We start from the raw sequence: 21,854 nt of genomic DNA, 5'->3' as shown, positions 1-21,854 counted from the left end.
CTCGGTTGTCTGATTAGGGGAGCAGAGGGTAGCCAGGAAATGCTGGCAGCCAGCCAGCTCTCTGTCCAAGAAGTGTAGCCAGGAAAGAAGCCAGATGGCAGGTGGAAGGGGAGGGTCAGGGAGGGTGGTGTTCACGGTGTCATTGACATCAGCACTCTTTAATTGAACTGGACGTGGGGAGACCTCCGGCGTAAGACTCGGGAGGGAACCAAGAACCTTCCTTGGTTTTCCTCCCACCCCAGCCTGAGCGAATCACTCTTCTTTTGCCCCATTCAGATGCTCCAAACAAACGTTACGAACCGAAAAATGAGTTTGTCCCACAGTGTTAAAACTTTTATTAGATTTCATATTTTAAAATTCCAACAAACAAACAAACAAAATTCCAGATTTCTCTTGGAAAATCTAAAAAGATCAGTTACACTGGACTCAGAGCGCCCTGGGACATCAGCTGGCGCTGAGCAGCTGCGCCCCCTTTGGGTGAAAGCATGCATTTCCAGCCTCTGCGATCGTCAGTGGCCAGCCTGACTCATGGTCCTTAACCTGTCAGGCCCCCGTCAGAGGGGGCGTTAGAGGGGGCTCCCTTCACCCTGAAATTTATTCTGGGATAAGCCAGAACAGCAGAGAACTGCTGGATGTAACTGGACATTGAGAATTATGGAGTAGCCTCTGGTACTGAGGTTTCTTGCCTATGTGGAAAGGTATTAAGAAATCAGTGGGGTCTGGCGCTGTGGCCCACGCCTGTAATCTCCAGGACTTTGGGAGGCCGAGGAGGGTGGATCACGAGATCAGGAGTTCGAGACAAGCCTGGGCAACATGGTGAAACCCTGTCTCTACTAAAAATACAAAAAATTAGCCAGGCGTGGTGGCGGGTGCCTATAATTCCAGTTACTCGGGAGGCTGAGGCAGGAGAATGGCCTGAACCCGGGAGGCGGAGATTGCAGTGAGCTGAGATCGCACCATTGCACTCCAGCCTGGGCGACAAGAGTGAAACTCCGTCTCAAAAAAGAAAAAAAAAAATCAGTGAAGTGGGACTGACTGCTGTGTTTACGACAGGACTGCTGTGGAGAACATCGACCACTACACCACATGGTTTCTTCTCTGTGGAGGCCCAGTGGAGGAATGGATTTCTTTAGTCTCAGTACCAACAGTGCTTCTAGTTGTGTTTCTTCTGAGGATCAGTTGTGTTTTTAAGTCCTCTAAATGGTGTACAGGATGGTTTCTTTTTTTCTTTTTCTTTTTCTTTTTTTTTTTATACTTTAAGTTCTGGGTTACATGTGCAAAACCTGCAAAACCTGCAGTTTTGTTACATAGGTATGCAGGTGCCATGGTGATTTGCTGCAGCCATCAACCCGTCACCTACATTAGGTATTTCTCCTAATGCTATCCCTCCCGTAGCCCCCCACCCTCAACAGGCCCCGGTGTGTGGTGTTCCCCTCCCTGTGTCCATGTGTTCTCATTGTTCAACTACCACTTATGAGTGAGAACATGCGATGTTTGGTTTTCTGATCTTGTGATAGTTTGCTGAGAATGATGGTTTCCAGCTTCATCTATGTCCCTGCAAAGGACATGAATTCATCCTTTTTAATGGCTGCATAGTATTCCATGGTGTATATGTGCCACATTTTCTTAATCCAGTCTATCATCGATGGACATTTGGGTTGGTTCCAAGTCTTTGCTATTGTGAATAGTGCCACAATAAACATACATGTGCATGTGTCTTTATTGTAGAATGATTTATAATCCTTTGGGTATATGCCCAGTAATGGGATCACTGGGTCAAATGGTATTTCTAGTTCTAGATCCTTGAGGAATTGCCACGCTGTCTTCCACAATGGTTGAACTAATTTACACTCCCACAAACAGTGTAAAAGTGTTCCTATTTTTCCACAACCTCTCCAGCATCTGTTGTTTCCTGACTTTTTAATGATTGCCATTCTAACTGGCATGAGATGCTATCTCATTGTGGTTTTGATTTGCATTTCTCTGATGACCAGTGATGATGAGCATTTTTTCGTATGTCTGTTGGCTGCATAAATGTCTTCTTTTGAGAAGTGTCTGTTCATATCCTTTGCCCATTTTTTGATGGGGTTGTTTGCTTTTTTCTTGTAAATTTGTTTAAGTTCTTTATAGATTCTGGATATTAGCCCTTTGTCAGATGGATAGATTCAAACTTTTCTCCCATTCTGTAGGTTGCCTGTTCACTCTGATGATAGTTTCTTTTGCTGTGCAGAAGCTCTTTAGTTTAACTAGATCCCATTTGTCAATTTTGGCTTTTGTTCCCATTGCTTTTCGTGTTTTAGACATGAAGTCTTTGCCCATGCCTATGTCCTGAATGGTATTGCCCAGGTTGCCCAGGTTTTCTTCTAGGATTTTTATGGTCCTAGGTCTTACGTTTAAGTCTTTGATCCATCTTGAGTTGATTTTTGTATAAGGTGTAAGGAAGAGGTCCAGTTTCAGTTTTCTGCATATGGCTAGCCAGTTTTCCCAACACCATTTATTAAATAGGGAATCTTTTCCCCCATTGCTTGTGTGTGTCAGGTTTGTCAAAGATCAGATGGTGGTAGATGTGTGGTGTTATTTCTGAGGCCTCAGTTCTGTTCCATTGGTCTATATATCTGTTTTGGTACCAGTACCATGCCATTTTGGTTACTGTAGCCTTGTAGTAAAGTTTGAAGTCAGGTAGCGTGATGCCTCCAGCTTTGTTCTTCTTGCCCAGGATTGTCTTGGCAATGTGGGCTCTTTTTTGGTTCCATATGAAGTTTAAAGTAGTTTTTTCCAATTCTGTAAAGAAAATCAGTGGTAGCTTGATGGGGATAGCATTGAATCTATAAATTTTTTTGGTCAGTATGGCCATTTTCATGATATTGATTCTTCCTATCCATGAGCATGGAATGTTTTTCCATTTGTTTGTGTCCTGTCTTATTTCCTTGAGCAGTGGTTTGTAGTTCTCTTTGAAGAGTTCCTTCACATCCCTTGTAAGTTGTATTCCTAGGTATTTTATTTTCTTAGTGGCAATTGCGAATGGGAGTTCACTCATGATTTGGCTCTCTGTTTGTCTGTTCTTGGGGTATAGGAATGCTTGTGATTTTTGCACATTGATTTTGTATCCTGAGACTTTGCTGAAGTTGCTTATCAGCTTAAGGAGACTTTAGGCTGAGATGATGGGGTTTTCTAAATATACAATCATGTCATCTGCAAACAGAGACAATTTGACTTCCCCTTTTCCTAATTGAATACCCTTTATTGCTTTCTCTTGCCTTATTGCCCTGGCCAGAACTTCCAATACTATGTTGAATAGGAGTGGTGAGAGAGGGCATCCTTGTCTTGTGCTGGTTTTCAAAGGGAATGCTTCCAGTTTTTGCCCATTCAGTATGATATTGGCTGTGGGTTTGTCATAAATAGCTCTTATTAGTTTGAGATACATTCCATCGATACCTAGTTTATTGAGAGTTTTTAATGTGAAAGGCTGTTGAATTTTGTTGAAGGTCTTTTCTGCATCTATTGAGATAATCATGTGTTTTTTGTCATTGGTTCTGTTTATGTGATGGATTATGTTTATTGATTTGCGTATGTTGAACCAGCCTTACATCCCAGGGATGAAGCCCACTTGATCGTAGTGGATAAGCTTTTTGATGTGCTGCTGGATTCGGTTTGCCAGTATTTTATTGAGGATTTTCGCATCAATGTTCATCAGGGATATTGGCCTAAAATTATCTTTCTTTTTGTTGTGTCTCTGCCAGGCTTTGGTATCAGGATGTTGCTGGCCTCATAAAATGAGTTAGGGAGGATTCCCTTTTTTTCTGTTGATTGGAATAGTTTCAGAAGGAATGGTACCAACTCCTCTTTGTACCTCTGGTAGAATTTGGCTGTGAATCCATCTGGTCCTGGACTTTTTTTGGTTGGTAGGCTATTAATTACTGCCTCAATTTCAGAACATGTTATTGGTCTATTCAGAGATTCAACTTCTTCCTGGTTTAGTCTTGGGAGGGTGTATGTGTCCAGGAATTTATCCATTTATTCTGGATTTTCTAGTTTATTTGTGTAGAGTTGTTTTTATTATTCTCTGATAGTAGTTTGCATTTCCATGGGATCGGTGGTGATACACCCTTTATCATTTTTTATTGTGTCTATTTGATTATTCTCTCTTTTCTTCTTTATTAGTCTTGCTAGCGGTCTATCAATTTTGTTGATCTTTTCAAAAAACCAGCTCCTGGATTCATTGATTTTTTGAAGGGTTTTTTTGTGTCTCTATCTCCTTCTGTTCTGCTCTGATCTTAGTTATTTCTTGTCTTCTGCTAGCTTTTGAATTTGTTTGCTCTTGTTTCTTGAGTTCTTTTAATTGTGATGTTAGGGTGTCAATTTTAGATCTTTCCTGCTTTCTCTTGTGGGCATTTAGTGCTATAAATTTCTCTCTACACACCGTTTTAAATGTGTCCCAGAGCTTCTGGTACGTTGTGTCTTTGTTCTCATTGATTTCAAAGAACATCTTTATTTCTGCCTTCATTTCGTTATTTACCCAGTAGTCATTCTGTTCAGTTTCCATGTAGTTGTGCGGTTTTGAGTGAGATTCTTAATCCTGAGTTCTAATTTGATTGCACTGTGGTCTGAGAGACGGTTGTGATTTCTGTTCTTTTACATTTGCTGAGGAGTGTTTTACTTCCAATTATGTGGTCAATTTTAGAATAAGTGTGATGTGGTACTGAGAAAAATGTGTATTCTTTTGACTTGGGGTGGAGAGTTCTGTAGATGTTTATTAGTTCCACTTGGTCCAGAGCTGAGTTCAACTCCTGGATATCCTGGTTAATTTTCTGTCTCGTTGATTTGTCTAATATTGACAATGGGGTGTTAAAGTCTCCCATTATTATCATGTGGGAGTCTAAGTCTCTTTGTAGGTCTCTAAGAACTTGCTTTATGAATCTGGTTGCTCCTGTAGTGGGTGCATATATATTTAGGATAGTCAGCTCTTCTTGTTGAATTGATCCTTTTACCATTGTGTAATGGCCTTGTTTGTCTCTTTTGATCTTTGTTGGTTTAAAGTCTGTTTTATCAGAGACCAGGATTGTAGCCCCTCCTTTGTTTTGCTTTCCATTTGCTTCATAGATCTTCCTCTATCCCTTTATTTTGAGCCTATGTGTGTTTCTACACGTGAGATGGGTCTCCTGAATACAGCACACAGATGGGTCTTGACTCTTTATTTTTGAGACAGAGTCTCACTCTGTCGCCCAGGCTGGAGTTCAGCAGCGTGATCTCGGCTCACTGCAAGCTCCACATATCGGGTTCACGCCATTCTCCTGCCTCAGACTCCTGAGTAGCTGGGACTACAGGAACCCACCACCACGCCAGGCTAATTTTTTGTAGAGATAGGGTTTCTCCATGTTGGCCAGGATGGTCTCAATCTCCTGACCTCATGATCCACCCACCTCGGCCTCCCAAAGTGCTGGGATTACAGGCGTGAGCCACCATGCCCAGCCGGGTCTTGACTGTTTATCCTTTTAATAGGGGCATTTAGCCCATTTACATTTAAGGTTAATATTGTTATGTTTGAATTTGATCCTGTGATTATAATGCTAGCTGGTTATTTCGCCCATTAATTGATGCAGTTTCTTCATAGCATTGATGGTCTTTACAATTTGGCATGTTTTTGCAGTGGCTGGTACTGGTTGTTCCTTTCCATGTTTAGTGCTTCCTTCAGGAGCTCTTGTAAGGCAGGCCTGGTGGTGACAAAATCTCTCAGCATTTGCTTGTCTGTAAAGGATTTTATTTCTCCTTCACTTATGAAGCTTAATTTGGCTAGATATGAAATTCTGGGTTGAAAATTCTTTTAAGAATGTTGAATATTGGCCCCCACTCTCTTCTGGCTTTTAGAGTTTCTGTGGAGAGATCAGCTGTTAGTCTGATGGGCTTCCCTTTGAGGGTAACGTGACCTTTCTCTCTGGCTGCCCTTAACATTTTTTCCTTCATTTCAACCTTGGTGAATCTGAAAAGTATGTGTCTTTGGGTTGCTCTTCCTTACAAGTATCTTTGTGGTGTTCTCTGTATTTCCTGAATTTGACTGTTGGCCTGCCTTGCTAGGTTGGGGAAGTTCTCCTGGATAATATCCTGAGGAGTGTTTTCTAAATTGGTTTCATTCTCCCCGTCACTTTCAGGTACACCAATGAGACGTAGATTTGGTCTTTTCACATAGTCCCATATTTCTTGGAGGCTTTGTTCGTTTCTTTTCACTCTTTTTTCTCTGATCTTGTCTTCTCACTTTATCTCATCGATTTGATCTTCAATCACTGATATCCTTTCTTCTGCTTGATTGAATCAGCTATTGAAGCTTGTGTATGCTTCATGAAGTTCTTGTACTGTGGTTTTCAGCTCCATCAGGTCATTTAAGCTCTTCTCTACACTGTTTATTCTAGTTAGCCATTCGTCTAACCTTTTTTCAAGGTTTTTTACTTCCTTGCAATGGTTTAGAACATGCTCCTTTAGCTTGGAGAAGTTTATTACCGACCTTCTGAAGCCTACTTCTGTCAACTTATCAAACTCATTCTCCGTCCAGCTTTGTTCCCTTGCTGGCGAGGAGTTGTGTTCCTTTGGAAGAGAAGACGTGTTCTGGTTTTTTGGAATTTTCAGCCTTTCTGCTCTGGTTTCTCCCCATCGTTGTGGTTTTATCTACCTTTGGTCTTTGATGTTGGTTACCTACGGATGGGGTTTTGGTGTGCATGTTCTTTTTGTTGATGTTGATGCTATTCCTTTCTGTTTGTTAGTTTTCCTTCTAACAGACAGGCCCCTCAGCTGCAAGTCTGTTGGAGTTTGCTGGAGGTCCACTCCAGACCCTGTTTTCCTGGATATCACTAGCAGAGGCTGCAGAACAGCAAATATTGCTGCCTGATCCTTCCTCTGGAAGCTTGGTCCCAGAGGGGCACCCACCTGCATGAGGTGTCTGTTGGCCCCTACTGGGAGGTGTCTCCCAGTCAGGCTACATGGGGGTCAGGAACCCACTTGGGGAGGCAGTCTGTCTGTTATCAGAGTTTGAACGCTGTGCTGGGAGAGCCACTGCTCTCTTCAGAGCTGTTAGGCAGGGACTTTTAAGTCTGGAGAAGCTGTCTGCTGTCTTTTGTTCAGATACGCCCTGCCCCTAGAGGTGGAATCTAGAGAGGCAGTAGGCCTTGCTGAGCTGTGGGGGGCTCCACTCAGTTTGAGCTCCCCTGCCCTTTGTTTACACTTTGAGCATAGAACTGCCTACTCAAGCATCAGCAATGGTGGATGCCCCTCCCCACACCAAGCTCCAGCGTCCCAGGTCAATCTTAGACTGTTGCGCTAGCAGCGAGCCAGGCTCCATGGGCATGGGACCCACTGAGCCAGGCATGGGAGGGGATCTCCTTGTCTGACGGTTGTAAAGACCGTGGGAAAAGCACAGTATTTGGGCAGGAGTGTACTGCTTCTCCAGGTCCAGTCACTTATGGCTTCCCTTGGCTAGGAAAGGGAAATCCCCCAACCCCTTGCACTTCCCAGGTGAGGCGATGCCCTGCCCTGCTTCAGCTCGCCCTCCATGGGCTGCAACCACTGTCTGATCAGTCCCAATGAGATGAACCAGGTACCTCAGTTAGAAATGCAGAAATCACCTGTCTTCTGTGTCGATCTCACTGGGAGCTATAGACCAGAGCTATTCCTATTCGGCCATCTTTGAAGCGACCAGGATGGTTTCTTTGTGCCACCATCTGCAAAGCTCAGCACCAAACTCATGGCTGTCTTGGAAAGGCTCCATGGCCTGCCTGGGGAGCTACCCTTGTGAGTGGCTCTATTTTCCTTTCTTAGATGTGTATTTTTCCTACTTATTTTTTATTCTATGTTAGTCTAAGATTTGTGTCTTTGAAGAGTCAGATCTTTGATCTTTGTTAGAATAAACCAGAGTTTAAATAAACTCCTCTACCCTATATATACCTTGATTATAGCACTTTCTACAATGTATTATACTTACCTGTTTAGATATTGGTCTCTTCCGCTAGACTGTGAAGATCAAGCTGCATTTTATCTTTATCAAGCTGCTTATCGCTAATACTGAGCCCAGAGCTTTGCATTTAATAAATGTTTGAAGAATGAAAGTAAAGATGTTAGAGAACTGGCATAGTGGGAATCCAGGTAACAGATGGAGGGGTTGAACAAGGCAGGCCTTCTTCTCAGATCAGAGGGGTGCAAGAGACCAGTTGGTGTTTTCGGTTTTTCTCTCTAACCTAAGAAAAATTCTATTACTCTAGTTAAGGTTTTATTAAGGCTCATTTAAGGTTATTTCACTTTACACATTTCACTTAAGGTTACTGAGTTTGGAGAATATGTAAGGGGTTTTCTGGCATGGTAGAAAGAAGATGGGCTTTGGCTATGGATTTGGGTTGGAAACCCAGGAATGTCTTTTTGTTGTTGTTTTTTAAATGTTAGTGGGGGATTTGCTTCAGTTTTCTTGGCTGTCAAAGTAGCTAGCTGGGCCGGGTGCGGTGGCTCACGCCTGTAACCCCAGCACTTTGGGAGGCCAAGGCGGGCGGATCACCTGAGGTCAGGAGTTTCAGACTAGCCTGACCAACATGGAGAAACCCCGTCTCTAATAAAAATATAAAATTAGCCAGTCATGGTGGCACATGCCTGTAATCCCAGCTACTCGGGAGACTGAGACAGGAGACTCGCTTGAACCCAGGAGGTGGAGGTCGCGGTGAGCCAAGATCATGCCATTGCACTCCAGCCTGGGCAACAAGAGTGAAACTCCATCTCAAAAAAAAAAAAAAATACAAAAAAACAAAAAATCCAAGTGGCTAGCTGTAGCCCTTGACAAAGTAACACATAACCACAAATTTAGCACATAGTGGGAAACTCAGAGGTTTTAGTTTTTCCCATGAAGTTCTCTTCTTTGAATGTATTTTTCTATCATGTAGCCCCTGCCTTTAAAACATTAAGCTCTTGGTGAAAGCAATGGATCCTATAACTCATTTATCCTTCCCTCCCTTCTCCATTTACCTCCATCTGCCTTCTATCTGAGGACGAGAGTTACGTTTGCTGATATTAAAGTCACCAAGGAATCACCAGTTTGTGGGTTTGTTGGAGGCTGGACATGCACACACAGAATATGGCTCCTAGCATAAACTCCTGCTCAAATACAACAGACTTCTTAAGAAAAAAAATAAAATAAAATAAAAAAGGAAAACAAAACAACAACAACAGAAAATACCAAAACCAGTAGATGGTTCCAGTTCTGGTAATGACAGTGTAGCTTTTATCAGACTAACCCACTATTCAATAACAATTATAAACTCTGGACAAAATATGAAAAACAACTGTTGATGGCAATGAAGAACAACCAAAGGCAGGCAGCCACTGGAATGGCCATGGCTCTTGAAAGAAGGGAAGCAAAGTGAGTTCTATATTTAACTGGTTTTCCCCCATGAGTATTATTTAGTCCTGACAGTGCATGGTGAAATACAGCCTAAACAAATGTGGCAATTTGAGTCTCCAAGAACACAACTGTATATTCTCAAAAGGAAAATAATCCAGAATTTCTGTAATGTATCATCTACAATGTCACTCCTATACTAAAAAATTTAATAGACATGTATAGAAACACAAAAAATGTGACCCATAATGAGAAAAATTAGCCAATAAAAATAGACACATAGATGACCTAGATGTTGGAATTAGCATCTATGTTAACTGTTTTAAGCTGCTATGAATATGCTAAAGAATTTACAGGAAGAAATGGACAGAATGGGTGAATAGAGAACTCAGAAGAGAAATGGGAACTCTAGTAAAAGAAGAGAGATCCTAGATCCATGCTATCCAACATGGTAGCCCTTAGCCACGACAGCCACAATGTGGCTATTGAGCATTTCAAGTGTGGTTAGTCCAAATTGAGATGTGCAGTAATTTTGAAATACTAAATTTCAAAGATTTAGCATAAAATAGCTCATTAATAGTTTTTATATTGATTATATGTTAAGTGATAATATTTGGGATATGTATAGTTAAATGAAACATATTATTAAAATTAACTACACCAATTATTTTACTTTTTTTATTTTTTGTAGAGATGGAGGGGTCTCCTTGCTGTCCAGGCCAGGCTCGAACTCCTAGCTTCAAGTGATCCTCCTCCCTTGGCCTCCCAAACTGCTGGGATTACAGGTATGAGCCACTGCACCTGGCTATTTTACTACTTTTGTTGTTGTTTTACTTTTCTTTTCTTTTTTTTTTTTTTTTTTTGAGACAGGGTGTCACTCTGTCACTCAGGCTGGAGTGCAGTGGCATGATCTTGACTCACTGCAATTTCCAGCTCCTGGGCTCAAGTGATCCTCTCACCTTAGCCTCCTGAGTAGCTGGGACTACAGGCATGCACCACCATTCCCAGTTAATTTTTTTTTTCTTTCTTTTTTTTTTTTTTGGTACAAAGAGTTTCGCCATGTTTCCCAGGCTGGTCTCAAACTCCTGGGCTCAAGTGATCTGTCTGCTTTGGCGTCCCAAAGTACTGGGATTACAGAAGTGAGCCACCATCCCTTGTCTATTTTAGTATTTTTTAATGTGGCTACTGGAAAACAAAATTACATGAGGCTTGCATATTTCCATTGGACAGCACTGTTCTAGAACTGTAAAATACAATATTTGAATTCAGAGAGGTGAAAATACTAAAATTAATTAATAAATTAATAAGATTCCAGGATGCTACTAGGTCAATATACAAAAATCAGTTGCATTTCTAACCCTAGCAACAAACAATTAGAAAATAATTTTTTTTTTTTGAGACAGAGTCTCACTCTGTTGCCCAGGCTGGAGTGCAGTGGCATGATCTTGGCTCACTGCAACCTCTACTTCCTGGGTTCAAGTGATTCTTGTGCCTCAGCCTTTCCAGTAGCTAGAATTACAGGTGCACACCACCACTCCTGGCTAATTTTTGTATTTTCAGTAGAGATGGGTTTTCACCATGTTGGCCAGGCTGGTCTCGAACTCCTGACCTCGAGAGATCCACCCACCTCGGCCTCCCAAAGTGCTGGGATTACAGGTGTAAGCCACTGCGCCTGGCTGGAAAATAAATTTTTAAAAGGCCATTTATAATAGCATAAAACTCAGACTTTCAAGAATAAACTTAATAAAAGGCTAAGCTCTATGCACTGAAAGCTGTAAACATTGCTGAGAGCAGCTAAAAAAGAACTAAATGAAGAAATGTTTCTGGATTGTGCAGATGTCAATTTTTGAGAAATTAATCTATAGATATATACTATCCCAATGGAAATTCCAGGAAACTTTTGTAAAAATTGACAAGCTGATTTTAAAATGTATATGAAAATGGAAATGTCCTATATTAGTCAAGACATTCTTGAAGAATAAAGTTGGGGGACTTACCCTGATTTCAAGACACAATAACACTCCAGCATTAGTCTTATTAATTTTGTTAATTTATTGTGGCATTTAGTAATTTAGTTAATTAGTGTAGTTATTAATTTAGCATGTGTTAAGATAAATAGGGCCAGGTGCGGTGACTCACACCTGTAATCCCAACAATTTGGGAGGCCAAGGCAGGAGAATTGCATTTGCCCAGGAGTTTGAGACCAGACTGGACAACACAATGAGACCATGTCTCTATAAAAAATTAAAAATATTAGCAAGGCATGGTGGCATATGCTTGCAGTCCTAGGTACTTGGGAGGCTGAGGCAGGAGGATCACTTGAGCCCAGGAGTTTAAGACTGCAGTGAGCTATGACTGTACCACTGCACTCCAGCCTGGGTGACAGAGGGGACCCTGTCTCTAAAAATAAATACATAAATAAAAATAAAAATAAATTAGATTGCCTCTGGGAGGAGGGGATTCTGGACTAGAAGTAATTAAAGAAACTTTCAGAAATGTTGGTAGAGTCTATAACTTTATTTGGCTGATGATTACAATGATATATATATACATCTGTCAAAACTCATTGATCTGTACATTTTATTTTATGTAAAATAATTGTGTAATAAAATATGTAACATAATTTTTTAATAAAAAGCAACAGAGTGGAGTAATCCTGGCATGGCAGCCCCAGCATGTTGGTTGGGAATGTAACTGTACAATGGAGAGAGATGAACTCTGCGACACACTGAGCTGAGTTTATATCCTTTCTTTACTACTTATCAGTGGTGACCTTGGGCAAATTGTTCACTCTCTGCAAGCCTTAGTTTTCTCATCTGAAAAATGGTGCTGGTGCTAGCACTTTACTTCACAGATTTGCAAGGAAGAGCTAATGAGTATAAGTAGTTAAAGTATCTAGCATGGTTTCTGGTAGTTTACAGTCCCACAGAAGAAAACATGCCCTAAGGGTAAGCGGTTATCTGCCAAGAAAAAAGGTGGACAGTGAAGGGGGAAAAAAAAGTCTTCAATTATGAGAACCTTGAAGATTTTCAGGTCTTGAAGATGCCTTTTATTGACCCTTGCTTTGGTAACATGATCTGGGAAAGTAGAATCCTTCCTGCTCTAAATCATCTACTCTTCGGAAATATATAAATTCCCCCTCTACAGTAGCAGAGCTCCACAAGAAGCCTGCCCAATTTTTCCAAAGTTATTTTTTTGATATTGGTGCCCAGATGTAGGTGGCTAAAGTGAGCAGGGAAAGCTAAGTACAGCCCTCCAGTGAAACACAGAAAGTACAAGAGTCTTGAAACAAACTCCAGATCACCCTGTGGCTCTGGGAATCAAACTTCAGAGGTCATCAGGCTGGCGCTTCTGTTATGGTTTATGTCCTGGCCAGTTATCCCATGAGACCACATCTCTTGTTCCATACAGGCACGGACCAAAGGCCTGGGTTCTGCTTGACTCCACTGCTCACTGGATGACCAAGACATGTTCCACATCTACAAACTAGAGGTAATACTGGCTTGCTTTAAAGTTGTAAGGGGAGCAACTTCCTTATGGCATATATTTATGATTTAATACTATGGTCTTTGCTATAACATTGTGGATCGGAATAAGAACTATGCGGCTGAATATGTCCATATCTTTTGTTCAACTGTAGTTGAAGATCTTGTGAGCCTGGGATTAACAGTAATGGCAAAATTTTATTTCCATCAACAGATCTGTATAATTTCTATGGTTAGAAAAAAAAACCCTATATAATTTGGCATGCTTATTGTTTTGCCTCTGTAACAAATAACTCAAATTCATATTTATTGATAAAGAGTTATTTATTTAAGAAAGATGCGTGAAAGCATCTACTCCTTCTAACTCCTTCACATAGTTTTCGGTTCTGATGTATCCTTAACTGCCTTATCATCTTACACTGAGTGTTAATCTGTAACCCCTGATAAGTCCTTGGGGGTAAGAATCTTAGAATATCTATTTATTGAGTTGTAATGGTGCTTTATATATTCTGGATACTAGACCCTTATCAGATACATGGTTTGAAAATATTTTTTCTCTTTCTGTTGGTTGTATTTTCACTTTTTTGATAATGTGCTTTGAATTATGTCTTAAATATTTTATTGTGAAAATCTTGAATTTTGATTATGTCCAACACATTTGTTTTTTTAAACAAGAATCTTAGAATATCTATATATACACGAATACACTAGACATATTAAAACATTAAATAATTTTATTCTTTTCTCATTTACAGTAGCCCAGTGGTAAGCATGTTAGAAAACCTGAAGAAATTTAAAAGTTTTTGGTTTACAAAAAGCATGTATAAAAATACCTGTTCAGACAAACAAAGATCTGATCATTACATTGCCCAGCTTTAAGAATGCCAAAAATAACTAAAATACTGTCAATCAAATGAGAGGGCTACATGGGTTTATTAAAGTTTATTTTAACAATTTTAGCTAAGCAGAATGTGCTAATGTAATTCAAGTTACAGTTACTGCCAGATAACATAAGAGAAAACATTGTGTGTGGCCACTTAAGATTATGCCTCAAACAGATACTGTTTCGTGCGCAGAACAGAGTTGGGGAACACAGCTGGGTTAAGTTTCAATGGTAAGCAGCAATAAAGATCAAGAAAATCCCCAACTTTTCTAATAACCGCTATACAATATGAAAAAAAAAATAGTATCTATCACCACCTCTTAACAATGGACATCAAAATTAGGATTGTAGGTTTTCTAAGTGCTTGGATAAAAAATGCGAACACAGTTAAGATCCTTGGTTAATTATCTTTGATTTTTCAAAACCCCCAAAACATAAAATATTTTGCTTGCTGGTGCATTAACCCATTAGCAATAACCTGAGCTATCTTTTCCTCACCAAGTATTTTGACAGTGCAAAATGTTAGTAGTCTCAGTAGACGCTGCTCACCACATTCTGTCATTGCAGCCTGATGATGAACCATGTCAGGGAGGTATCACTGCCAAGAGAAATGCACAGCAGCCTAAAAGATACATGATTCACTAGCATGCTGGAGTGTCAAAGGTAGATAGGCAGTTTTATGCAAAATGTGAAATATATAATTCAAAATGCCCACAAGCTAACAGAAAATACAGTATTGAATCTTTTAATATCAAAACAAATACTTATTTTGCTACTTTGAACAGTATTCCACATGGACAAGCAGATCGCGATGCTCAGTGGCTGGATACTGTATATTGCACTTGGGACATTCCACCAGGCTTTCATTGAGTGCAGCAGTGGGACTTTTTGGTGAGGCGGCAACTTTTTCTCTGTTTTCAGTCTCTCCTTGGAAAGTGACTAATGGCTCTGTGATGGCAAACTCATGAAGCTGTTTCTGAAAAATAAGTTTCAAATAATAGAATTTGTAAATAGGGCCAATGTTCAGCTTTTTTTTTTTCTTTTTTTGAGGCAGTCTCACTCTGTCACCCAGGCCAGAGTGTAGTGGCACAAACATGGCTCACTGCAGCCTCGACCTCCCAGGCTTAAGCAATCCTCTCACCTCAGCCTCCTAAGTAGCTGGGACTACAGGCACATGTCACCACGTCCAGATAATATTTCTATTTTTTGTAGAAATAGAAAATTCTACAAAAAATTAATTCTATGTTGCCCAGGCTGGTCTCAAACTCCTAAGCTCAAGTGATCTGCCCACCTCAGCCTCCCGAAGTGTTGGGATTACAGGCATGAACCACTGCACCCAGCCTGTTCAGCAATTTTAACTGTTCCATAAGTATTATAGCTGCTTCAGCACTGTAGACAGATTTTCTTTTGAATTTCAGCTCATCAGTATTATGAGGGTAATATATGAGGTAGTTGTGAATTTATCCAGATAACTACTGTAATTATCCAAATTACCCAGATATGGGAGTTGGGTGTATATATGAATATGTTTTATTAGGACACAGAGTCGAATATTAGGTAGGCCTATATGCAAGGCTGATTAAATTTGCTAGTTTTGTAAAACAGAGGCAACGTCAGCAATAAAGTACTACATGGAAATTAAAGGCAGCAAGCAATTTTAGCAGCTCAAACAGCTTATACACAGAAATGACTAAGATATTCTATCATACCTTTGAGACTTTCCTTTTTTGTGTTTTTTTTCTAAGAACTTGGAGTAGTTAAAAATGAGTATTTTACAGCACAGTGAAGAGGGTGGATAGCAGGAACAAAGTACAGGAAAATTACAAATTCTTTTTTTTTTTTAATTATACTTTAAGTTTTAGGGTACATGTGCACAATGTGCAGGTTTGTTACATATGTATACATGTGCCATGTTGGTGTGCTGCACCCATTAACTCATCATTTACATTGGGTATATCTCCTAATGCTATCCCTCCCCACTCCCCCCACCCCACAACAGGTCCTGGGGTGTGATGTCCCCCTTCCTGTGTCCAAGTGTTCTCATTGTTCAAATCCCACCTATGAGTGAGAACATGCGGTGTTTGATTTTTTGTCCTTGTGATAGTTTGCTGAGAATGATGGTTTCCAGCTTCATCCGTGTCCCTACAAAGGACATGAACTCATCATTTTTATGGCTGCATAGTATTCCATGGTGTATATGTGCCACATTTTCTTAATCCAGTCTATCGTTGTTGGACATTTGGGTTGGTTCCAAGTCTTTGCTATTGTGAATAGTGCCACAATAAACATACGTGTGCATGTGTCTTTATAGCAGCATGATTTATACTCCTTTGGGTATATACCCAGTAATGGGATGGCTGGGTCAAATGGTATTTCTAGTTCTAGATCCTGAGGAATTGCCACACTGACTTCCACAATGGTTGAACTAGTTTACAGTCCCACCAACAGTGTAAAAGTGTTCCTATTTCTCCACATCCTCTCCAGCACCTGTTGTTTCCTGACTTTTTAATGATTGCCATTCTAACTGGTGTGAGATGGTATCTCATTGTGGTTTTGATTTGCATTTCTCTGATGGCCAGTGATGATGAGCATTTTTTTCATGTGTCTTTTGGCTGCATAAATGTCTTCTTTTGAGAAGTGTCTATTCATATCCTTCACCCACTTTTTGATGGGGTTGTTTTTTTCTTTTAAATTTGTTTAAGTTCTTTGTAGATTCTGGATATTAGCCCTTTGTAGGTTGAGTAGATTGCAAAAATTTTCTCCCATTCTGTAGGATGCCTGTTCACTCTGATGGTAGTTTCTTTTGCTGTGCAGAAGCTCTTTAGTTTAATTAGATCCCATTTGTCAATTTTGGCTTTTGTTGCCATTGCTTTTGGTGTTTTAGACATGAAGTCCTTGCCCATACCTATGTCCTGAATGGTATTGCCTAGGTTTTCTTCTAGGGTTTTTATGGTTTTAGGTCTAACATGTAAATCTTTAATCCATCTTGAATTAATTTTTGTATAAGGTGTAAGGAAGGGATCCAGTTTCAGCTTTCTACATATGGCTAGCCAGTTTTCCCAGCACCATTTATTAAATAGGGAATCCTTTCCCCATTTCTTGTTGTTGTCAGGTTTGTCAAAGATCAGGTAGTTGTAGATGTGTGGCATTATTTCTGAGGGCTCTGTTCTGTTCCATTGGTCTATATCTCTGTTTTGGTACCAGTACCATGCTGTTTTGGTTACTGTAGCCTTGTAGTATAGTTTGAAGTCAGGTAGTGTGATGCCTCCAGCTTTGTTCTTTTGGCTTAGGATTGACTTGGCGATGCGGGCTCTTTTTTGGTTCCATATGAACTTTAAAGTAGTTTTTTCCAATTCTGTGAAGAAAGTCATTGGTAGCTTGATGGGGATGGCGTTGAATCTATAAATTACCTTGGGCAGTATGGCCATTTTCACAATAGTGATTCTTCCTATCCATGAGCATGGAATGTTCTTCCATTTGTTTGTATCCTCTTTTATTTTGTTGAGCAGTGGTTTGTAGTTGTCCTTGAAGAGGTCCTTCACATCCCTTGTAAGTTGGATTTCTAGGTATTTTATTCTCTTTGAAGCAATTGTGAATGAGAGTTCACTCATGATTTGGCTCTCTGTCTGTTATTGGTGTATAAGAATGCTTGTGATTTTTGCACATTGATTTTGTATCCTGAGACTTTGCTGAAGTTGCTTATCAGCTTAAGGAGATTTTGGGCTGAGATGATGGGGTTTTCTAGATATACAATCATGTCATCTGCAAACAGGGACAATTTGACTTCCTCTTTTCTTAATTGAATACCCTTTATTTCCTTCTCCTGCCTGATTGCCCTGGCCAGAACTTCCAACACTATGTTGAATAGGAGTGGTGAGAGAGGACATCCCTGTCTTGTGCCAGTTTTCAAAGGGAATGCTTCCAGTTTTTGCCCATTCAGTATGATATTGGCTGTGGGTTTGTCATAAATAGCTCTTATTATTTTGAGATATGTCCCATCAATACCTAATTTATTGAGAGTTTTTAGCATGAAGGGCTGTTGAATTTTGTCAAAGGCCTTTTCTGCATCTATTGAGATAATCATGTGGTTTTTGTCGTTGGTTCTGTTTATATGCTGGATTACGTTTATTGATTTGCGTATGTTGAACCAGCCTTGCATCCCAGGGATGATGCCCACTTGATCATGATGGATAAGCTTTTTGATGTGTTGCTGGATTTGGTTTGCCAGTATTTTATTGAGGATTTTTGCATCGATGTTCATCAGGGATATTGGTCTAAAATTCTCTTTTTTTGTTGTGTCTCTGCCAGTCTTTGGTATCAGGATGATGCTGGCCTCATAAAATGAGTTAGGGAGGACTCCCTTTTTTTCTATTGTTTGGAATAGTTTCAGAAGGAATGGTATCAGCTCCTCCTTGTACCTCTGGTAGAATTCGGCTGTGAATCTGTCTGGTCCTGGACTCTTTTTGGTTGGTAAGCTATTAATTATTGCCTCAATTTCAGAGCCTGTTATTGATCTATTCAGAGATTCAACTTCTTCCTGGTTTAGTCTTGGGAGGGTGTATGTGTCGAGGAATTTATCCATTTCTTCTAGATTTTCTAGTTTATTTGCGTAGAGGTGTTTATAGTATTCTCTGATGGTAGTTTGTATTTCTGTGGGATCGGTGTGATATCCCCTTTATCATTTTTTATTGTGTCTATTTGATTCTTCTCTCTTTTCTTCTTTATTAGTCTTGCTAGCGGTCTATCAATTTTGTTGATCTTTTCAAAAAACCAGCTCCTGGATTCATTGATTTTTTGAAAGTTTTTTTGTGTCTCTATCTCCTTCAGTTCTGCTCTGATCTTAGTTATTTCTTGCCTTCTGCTAGCTTTTGAATGGGTTTGCTCTTGCTTCTCTAGTTCTTTTAATTGTGACGTTAGGGTGTCAGTTTTAGATCTTTCCTGCTTTCTCTTGTGGGCATTTAGTGCTATAAATTTCCCTCTACACACTGCTTTAAATGTGTCCCAGAGATTCTGGTATGTTGCATCTTTGTTCTCATTGGTTTCAAAGAACATCTTTATTTCTGCCTTCATTTTGTTATGTACCCAGTAGTCATTCAGGAGCAGGTTGTTCAGTTTCCATGTAGTTGAGCGGTTTTGAGTGAGTTTCTTAATCCTGAGTTCTAGTTTGATTGCACTGTGGTCTGAGAGACAGTTTGTTATAATTTCTGTTCTTTTACATTTGCTGAGGAGTGTTTTACTTCCAACTATGTGGTCAATTTTGGAATAAGTGCGGTGTGGTGCTGAGAAGAATGTATATTCTGTTGATTTGAGGTGGAGAGTTCTGTAGATGTCTATTAGGTCCGCTTGGTGCAGAGCTGAGTTCAATTCCTGGATATCCTTGTTAACTTTCTGTCTCGTGGATCTGTCTCATGTTGACAGTGGGGTGTTAAAGTCTCCCATTATTATCGTGTGGGAGTCTAAGTCTCTTTTTAGGTCTCTAAGGACTTGCTTTATGAATCTGGGTGCTCCTGTATTGGGTGCATATATATTTAGGATAGTTAGCTCTTGTTGTTGAATTGATCCCTTTACCATTATGTAATGTCCTTCTTTGTCTGTTTTGATCTTTGTTGGTTTAAAGTCTGTTTTATCAGAGATTAGGATTGCAACCCCTGCCTTTTTTTGTTTTCTATTTGCTTGGTAGATCTTCCTCAATCCCTTTGTTTTGAGCCTATGTGTGTCACTGCATGTGAGATGGGTTTCCTGAATACAGCACACTGATGGGTCTTGACTCTTTATCCAAATTGCCAGTCTGTGTCTTTTAATTGTAGCATTTAGCCCATTTACATTTAAGGTTAATATTGTTATGTGTGAATTTGACCCTGTCATTATGATGTTAGCTGGTTATTTTGCTCTTTACTTGATGCAGTTTTTTCCTAGCCTCGATGGTCTTTACAATTTGGCATGTTTTTGCAGTGGCTGGTACTGGTTGTTCCTTTCCACGTTTAGTGCTTCCTTTAGGAGCTCTTGTAGGGCAGGCCTGGTGGTGACAAAATCTCTCAGCATTTGCTTGTCTGTAAAGGATTTTATTTTTCCTTCACTTATGAAGCTTACTCTGGCTGGATATGAAATTCTGGGTTGAAAATTCTTTTCTTTAAGAATGTTGAATATTGACCCCCCACTCTCTTCTGGCTTGTACAGTTTCTGCTGAGAGATCAGCTGTTAGTCTGATGGGCTTCCCTTTGTGGGTAACCCGACCTTTCTCTCTGGCTGCCCTTAACATTTTTTCCTTCATTTCAACTTTGGTGAATCTGACAATTATGTGTCTTGGAGTTGCTCTTCTCGAGGAGTATCTTTGTGGCATTCTCTGTATTTCCTGAATTTGAATGTTGGCCTGCCTTGCTAGACTGGGGAAGTTCTCCTGGATAATATCCTGCAGAGTGTTTTCCAATTTGGTTGCATTCTCCTCGTCACTTTCAGGTACACCAGTCAGACATAGATTTGGTCTTTTCACACAGTCCCATATTTCTTGGAGGCTTTGTTCGTTTCTTTTTATCCTTTTTTCTCAAAACTTCTCTTCTCACTTCATTTCATTCATTTGATCTTCCATCATTGATACTCATTCTTCCAGTTGATCAAATCGGCTACTGAGGCTTGTGCATTCGTCATGTTGTTCTCGTGCTGTGATTTTCAGCTCCATCTGGTCCTTTAAGGACTTCTCTGCATTGGTTATTCTAGTTAGCCATTCATCTAATCTTTTTTCAAGGTTTTCAACTTCTTTGCCACGGGTTCGAACTTCCTCCTTTAGCTCAGAGAAGTTTGATCATCTGAAGCCTTCTTCTCTCAACTCTTCATTCTCCATCCAGCTTTGTTCCATTGCTGGTGAGGAGCTGCGTTCCTTTGGAGGAGGAGAGGCACTCTGATTTTTAGAATTTTCAGTTTTTCTGCTGTTTTTTCCCCATCTTTGTGGTTTTATCTACCTTTGGTCTTTGATGATGGTGACATACAGATGGGGTTTTGGTGTGGATGTCCTTTCTGTTTGTTAGTTTTCCTTCTAACAGTCAGGACCCTCAGATGCAGGTCTTTTGGAGTTTGCCAGAGGTCCACTCCAGACCCTGTTTGCCTGGGTATCAGCAGCGGAGGCTGCAGAACAGCGAATATTGGTGAACAGCAAATGTTGCTGCCTGATTGCTCCTCTGGAAGTTTTGTCTCAGAGGGGTACCCGGCTGTGTGAGGTGTCAGTCTGCCCCTACTGGGGGGTGCCTCCCAGTTAGGCTACACGGGGGTCAGGGACCCACTTGTAGAGGCAGTCTGTCCGTTCTCAGATCTCAAGCTGCGTGCTGGGAGAACCACTACTGTCTTCCAATCTGTCAGACAGGGACATTTAAGTCTGCAGAGGTTTCTGCTGCCTTTTGTTTGGCTATGCCCTGCCCCCAGAGTTGGAGTCTACAGAGGCAGGCAGGCCTCCTTGAGCTGCGGTGGGCTCCACCCAGTTCGAGCTTCCCGGCCGCTTTGTTTACTTACTCGAGCCTCAGCAATGGCGGGCACCCCTCCCCCAGCCTCACTGCTACCTTGCAGTTTGATCTCAGACTGCTGTGGTAGCAATGAGCAAGGCTCCGTAGGTGTAGGACCCTCCAAGCCAGGCGTGGGATATAATCTCCTGGTGTGCTGTTTGCTAAGACCGTCGGAATAGCGCAGTATTAGGGTGGGAATGACCTGATTTTCCAGGTGCCGTCAGTCACCCCTTTCCTTGGCTAGAAAAGGGAATTCCCTGACCCCTTGCGCTTCCTGGGTGAGGCGATGCCTCACCCTGCTTCGGTTCACGCTCGGTGCGCTGCATCCACTGTCTGACAGTCCCCACTGAGATGAACCCAGTACCTCAGTTGGAAATGCAGAAATCATCCGTCTTCTGTGTCGCTCACGCTGGGAGCTGTAGACTGGAGCTGTTCCTATTCAGCCATCTTGGAACCGCCCCCACAAAATTACAAATTCTTTTGCATACCCTCTGCTCCCTAAGCTTTGAATGGTCAATAACAAAAATGAATTATAAATTTTCATTTCAAATATTATAAATGGGTAAAATCAATTATATACTTAAGAACAGAGCCAAAAATATATTTTCTTTCTTTTATTCATACAGAAGTTA

General features: G+C 40.7%; 1 protein-coding gene across 8 annotated transcripts in view, besides 1 other annotated feature; it reads right to left on the bottom strand.

Annotated features, from left to right (window-relative positions):
* Positions 451-540: a silencer, noted in NCBI's record as "silent region_2629". NCBI's record gives its function as "represses an Ori minimal core promoter by ATAC-STARR-seq in GM12878 lymphoblastoid cells {active_cell/tissue: GM12878}" and the evidence as "EXISTENCE:reporter gene assay evidence [ECO:0000049][PMID:35858748]".
* CEP55 (centrosomal protein 55) overlaps positions 13,566-21,854 on the bottom strand; it is a 32,481-nt gene continuing 24,192 nt past the window's right edge. For all 8 annotated transcript variants that reach the window (NM_018131.5, XM_017016373.2, XM_011539919.2 and 5 more), the window contains one exon: positions 13,566-14,708. In NM_018131.5, coding sequence (NP_060601.4) covers positions 14,505-14,708 — 204 coding nt within the window. In that variant the 3' untranslated portion in view covers positions 13,566-14,504. The remainder of the gene's footprint in view (positions 14,709-21,854) is intronic.

This window comes from Homo sapiens, chromosome 10 (assembly GCF_000001405.40).
Source record: "Homo sapiens chromosome 10, GRCh38.p14 Primary Assembly".
NCBI classification, from domain to species: domain Eukaryota; kingdom Metazoa; phylum Chordata; class Mammalia; order Primates; family Hominidae; genus Homo; species Homo sapiens.
The sequence above is the reverse complement of the archived record's forward strand: the minus strand, read 5'-3'. Positions and strand labels throughout refer to the sequence as shown.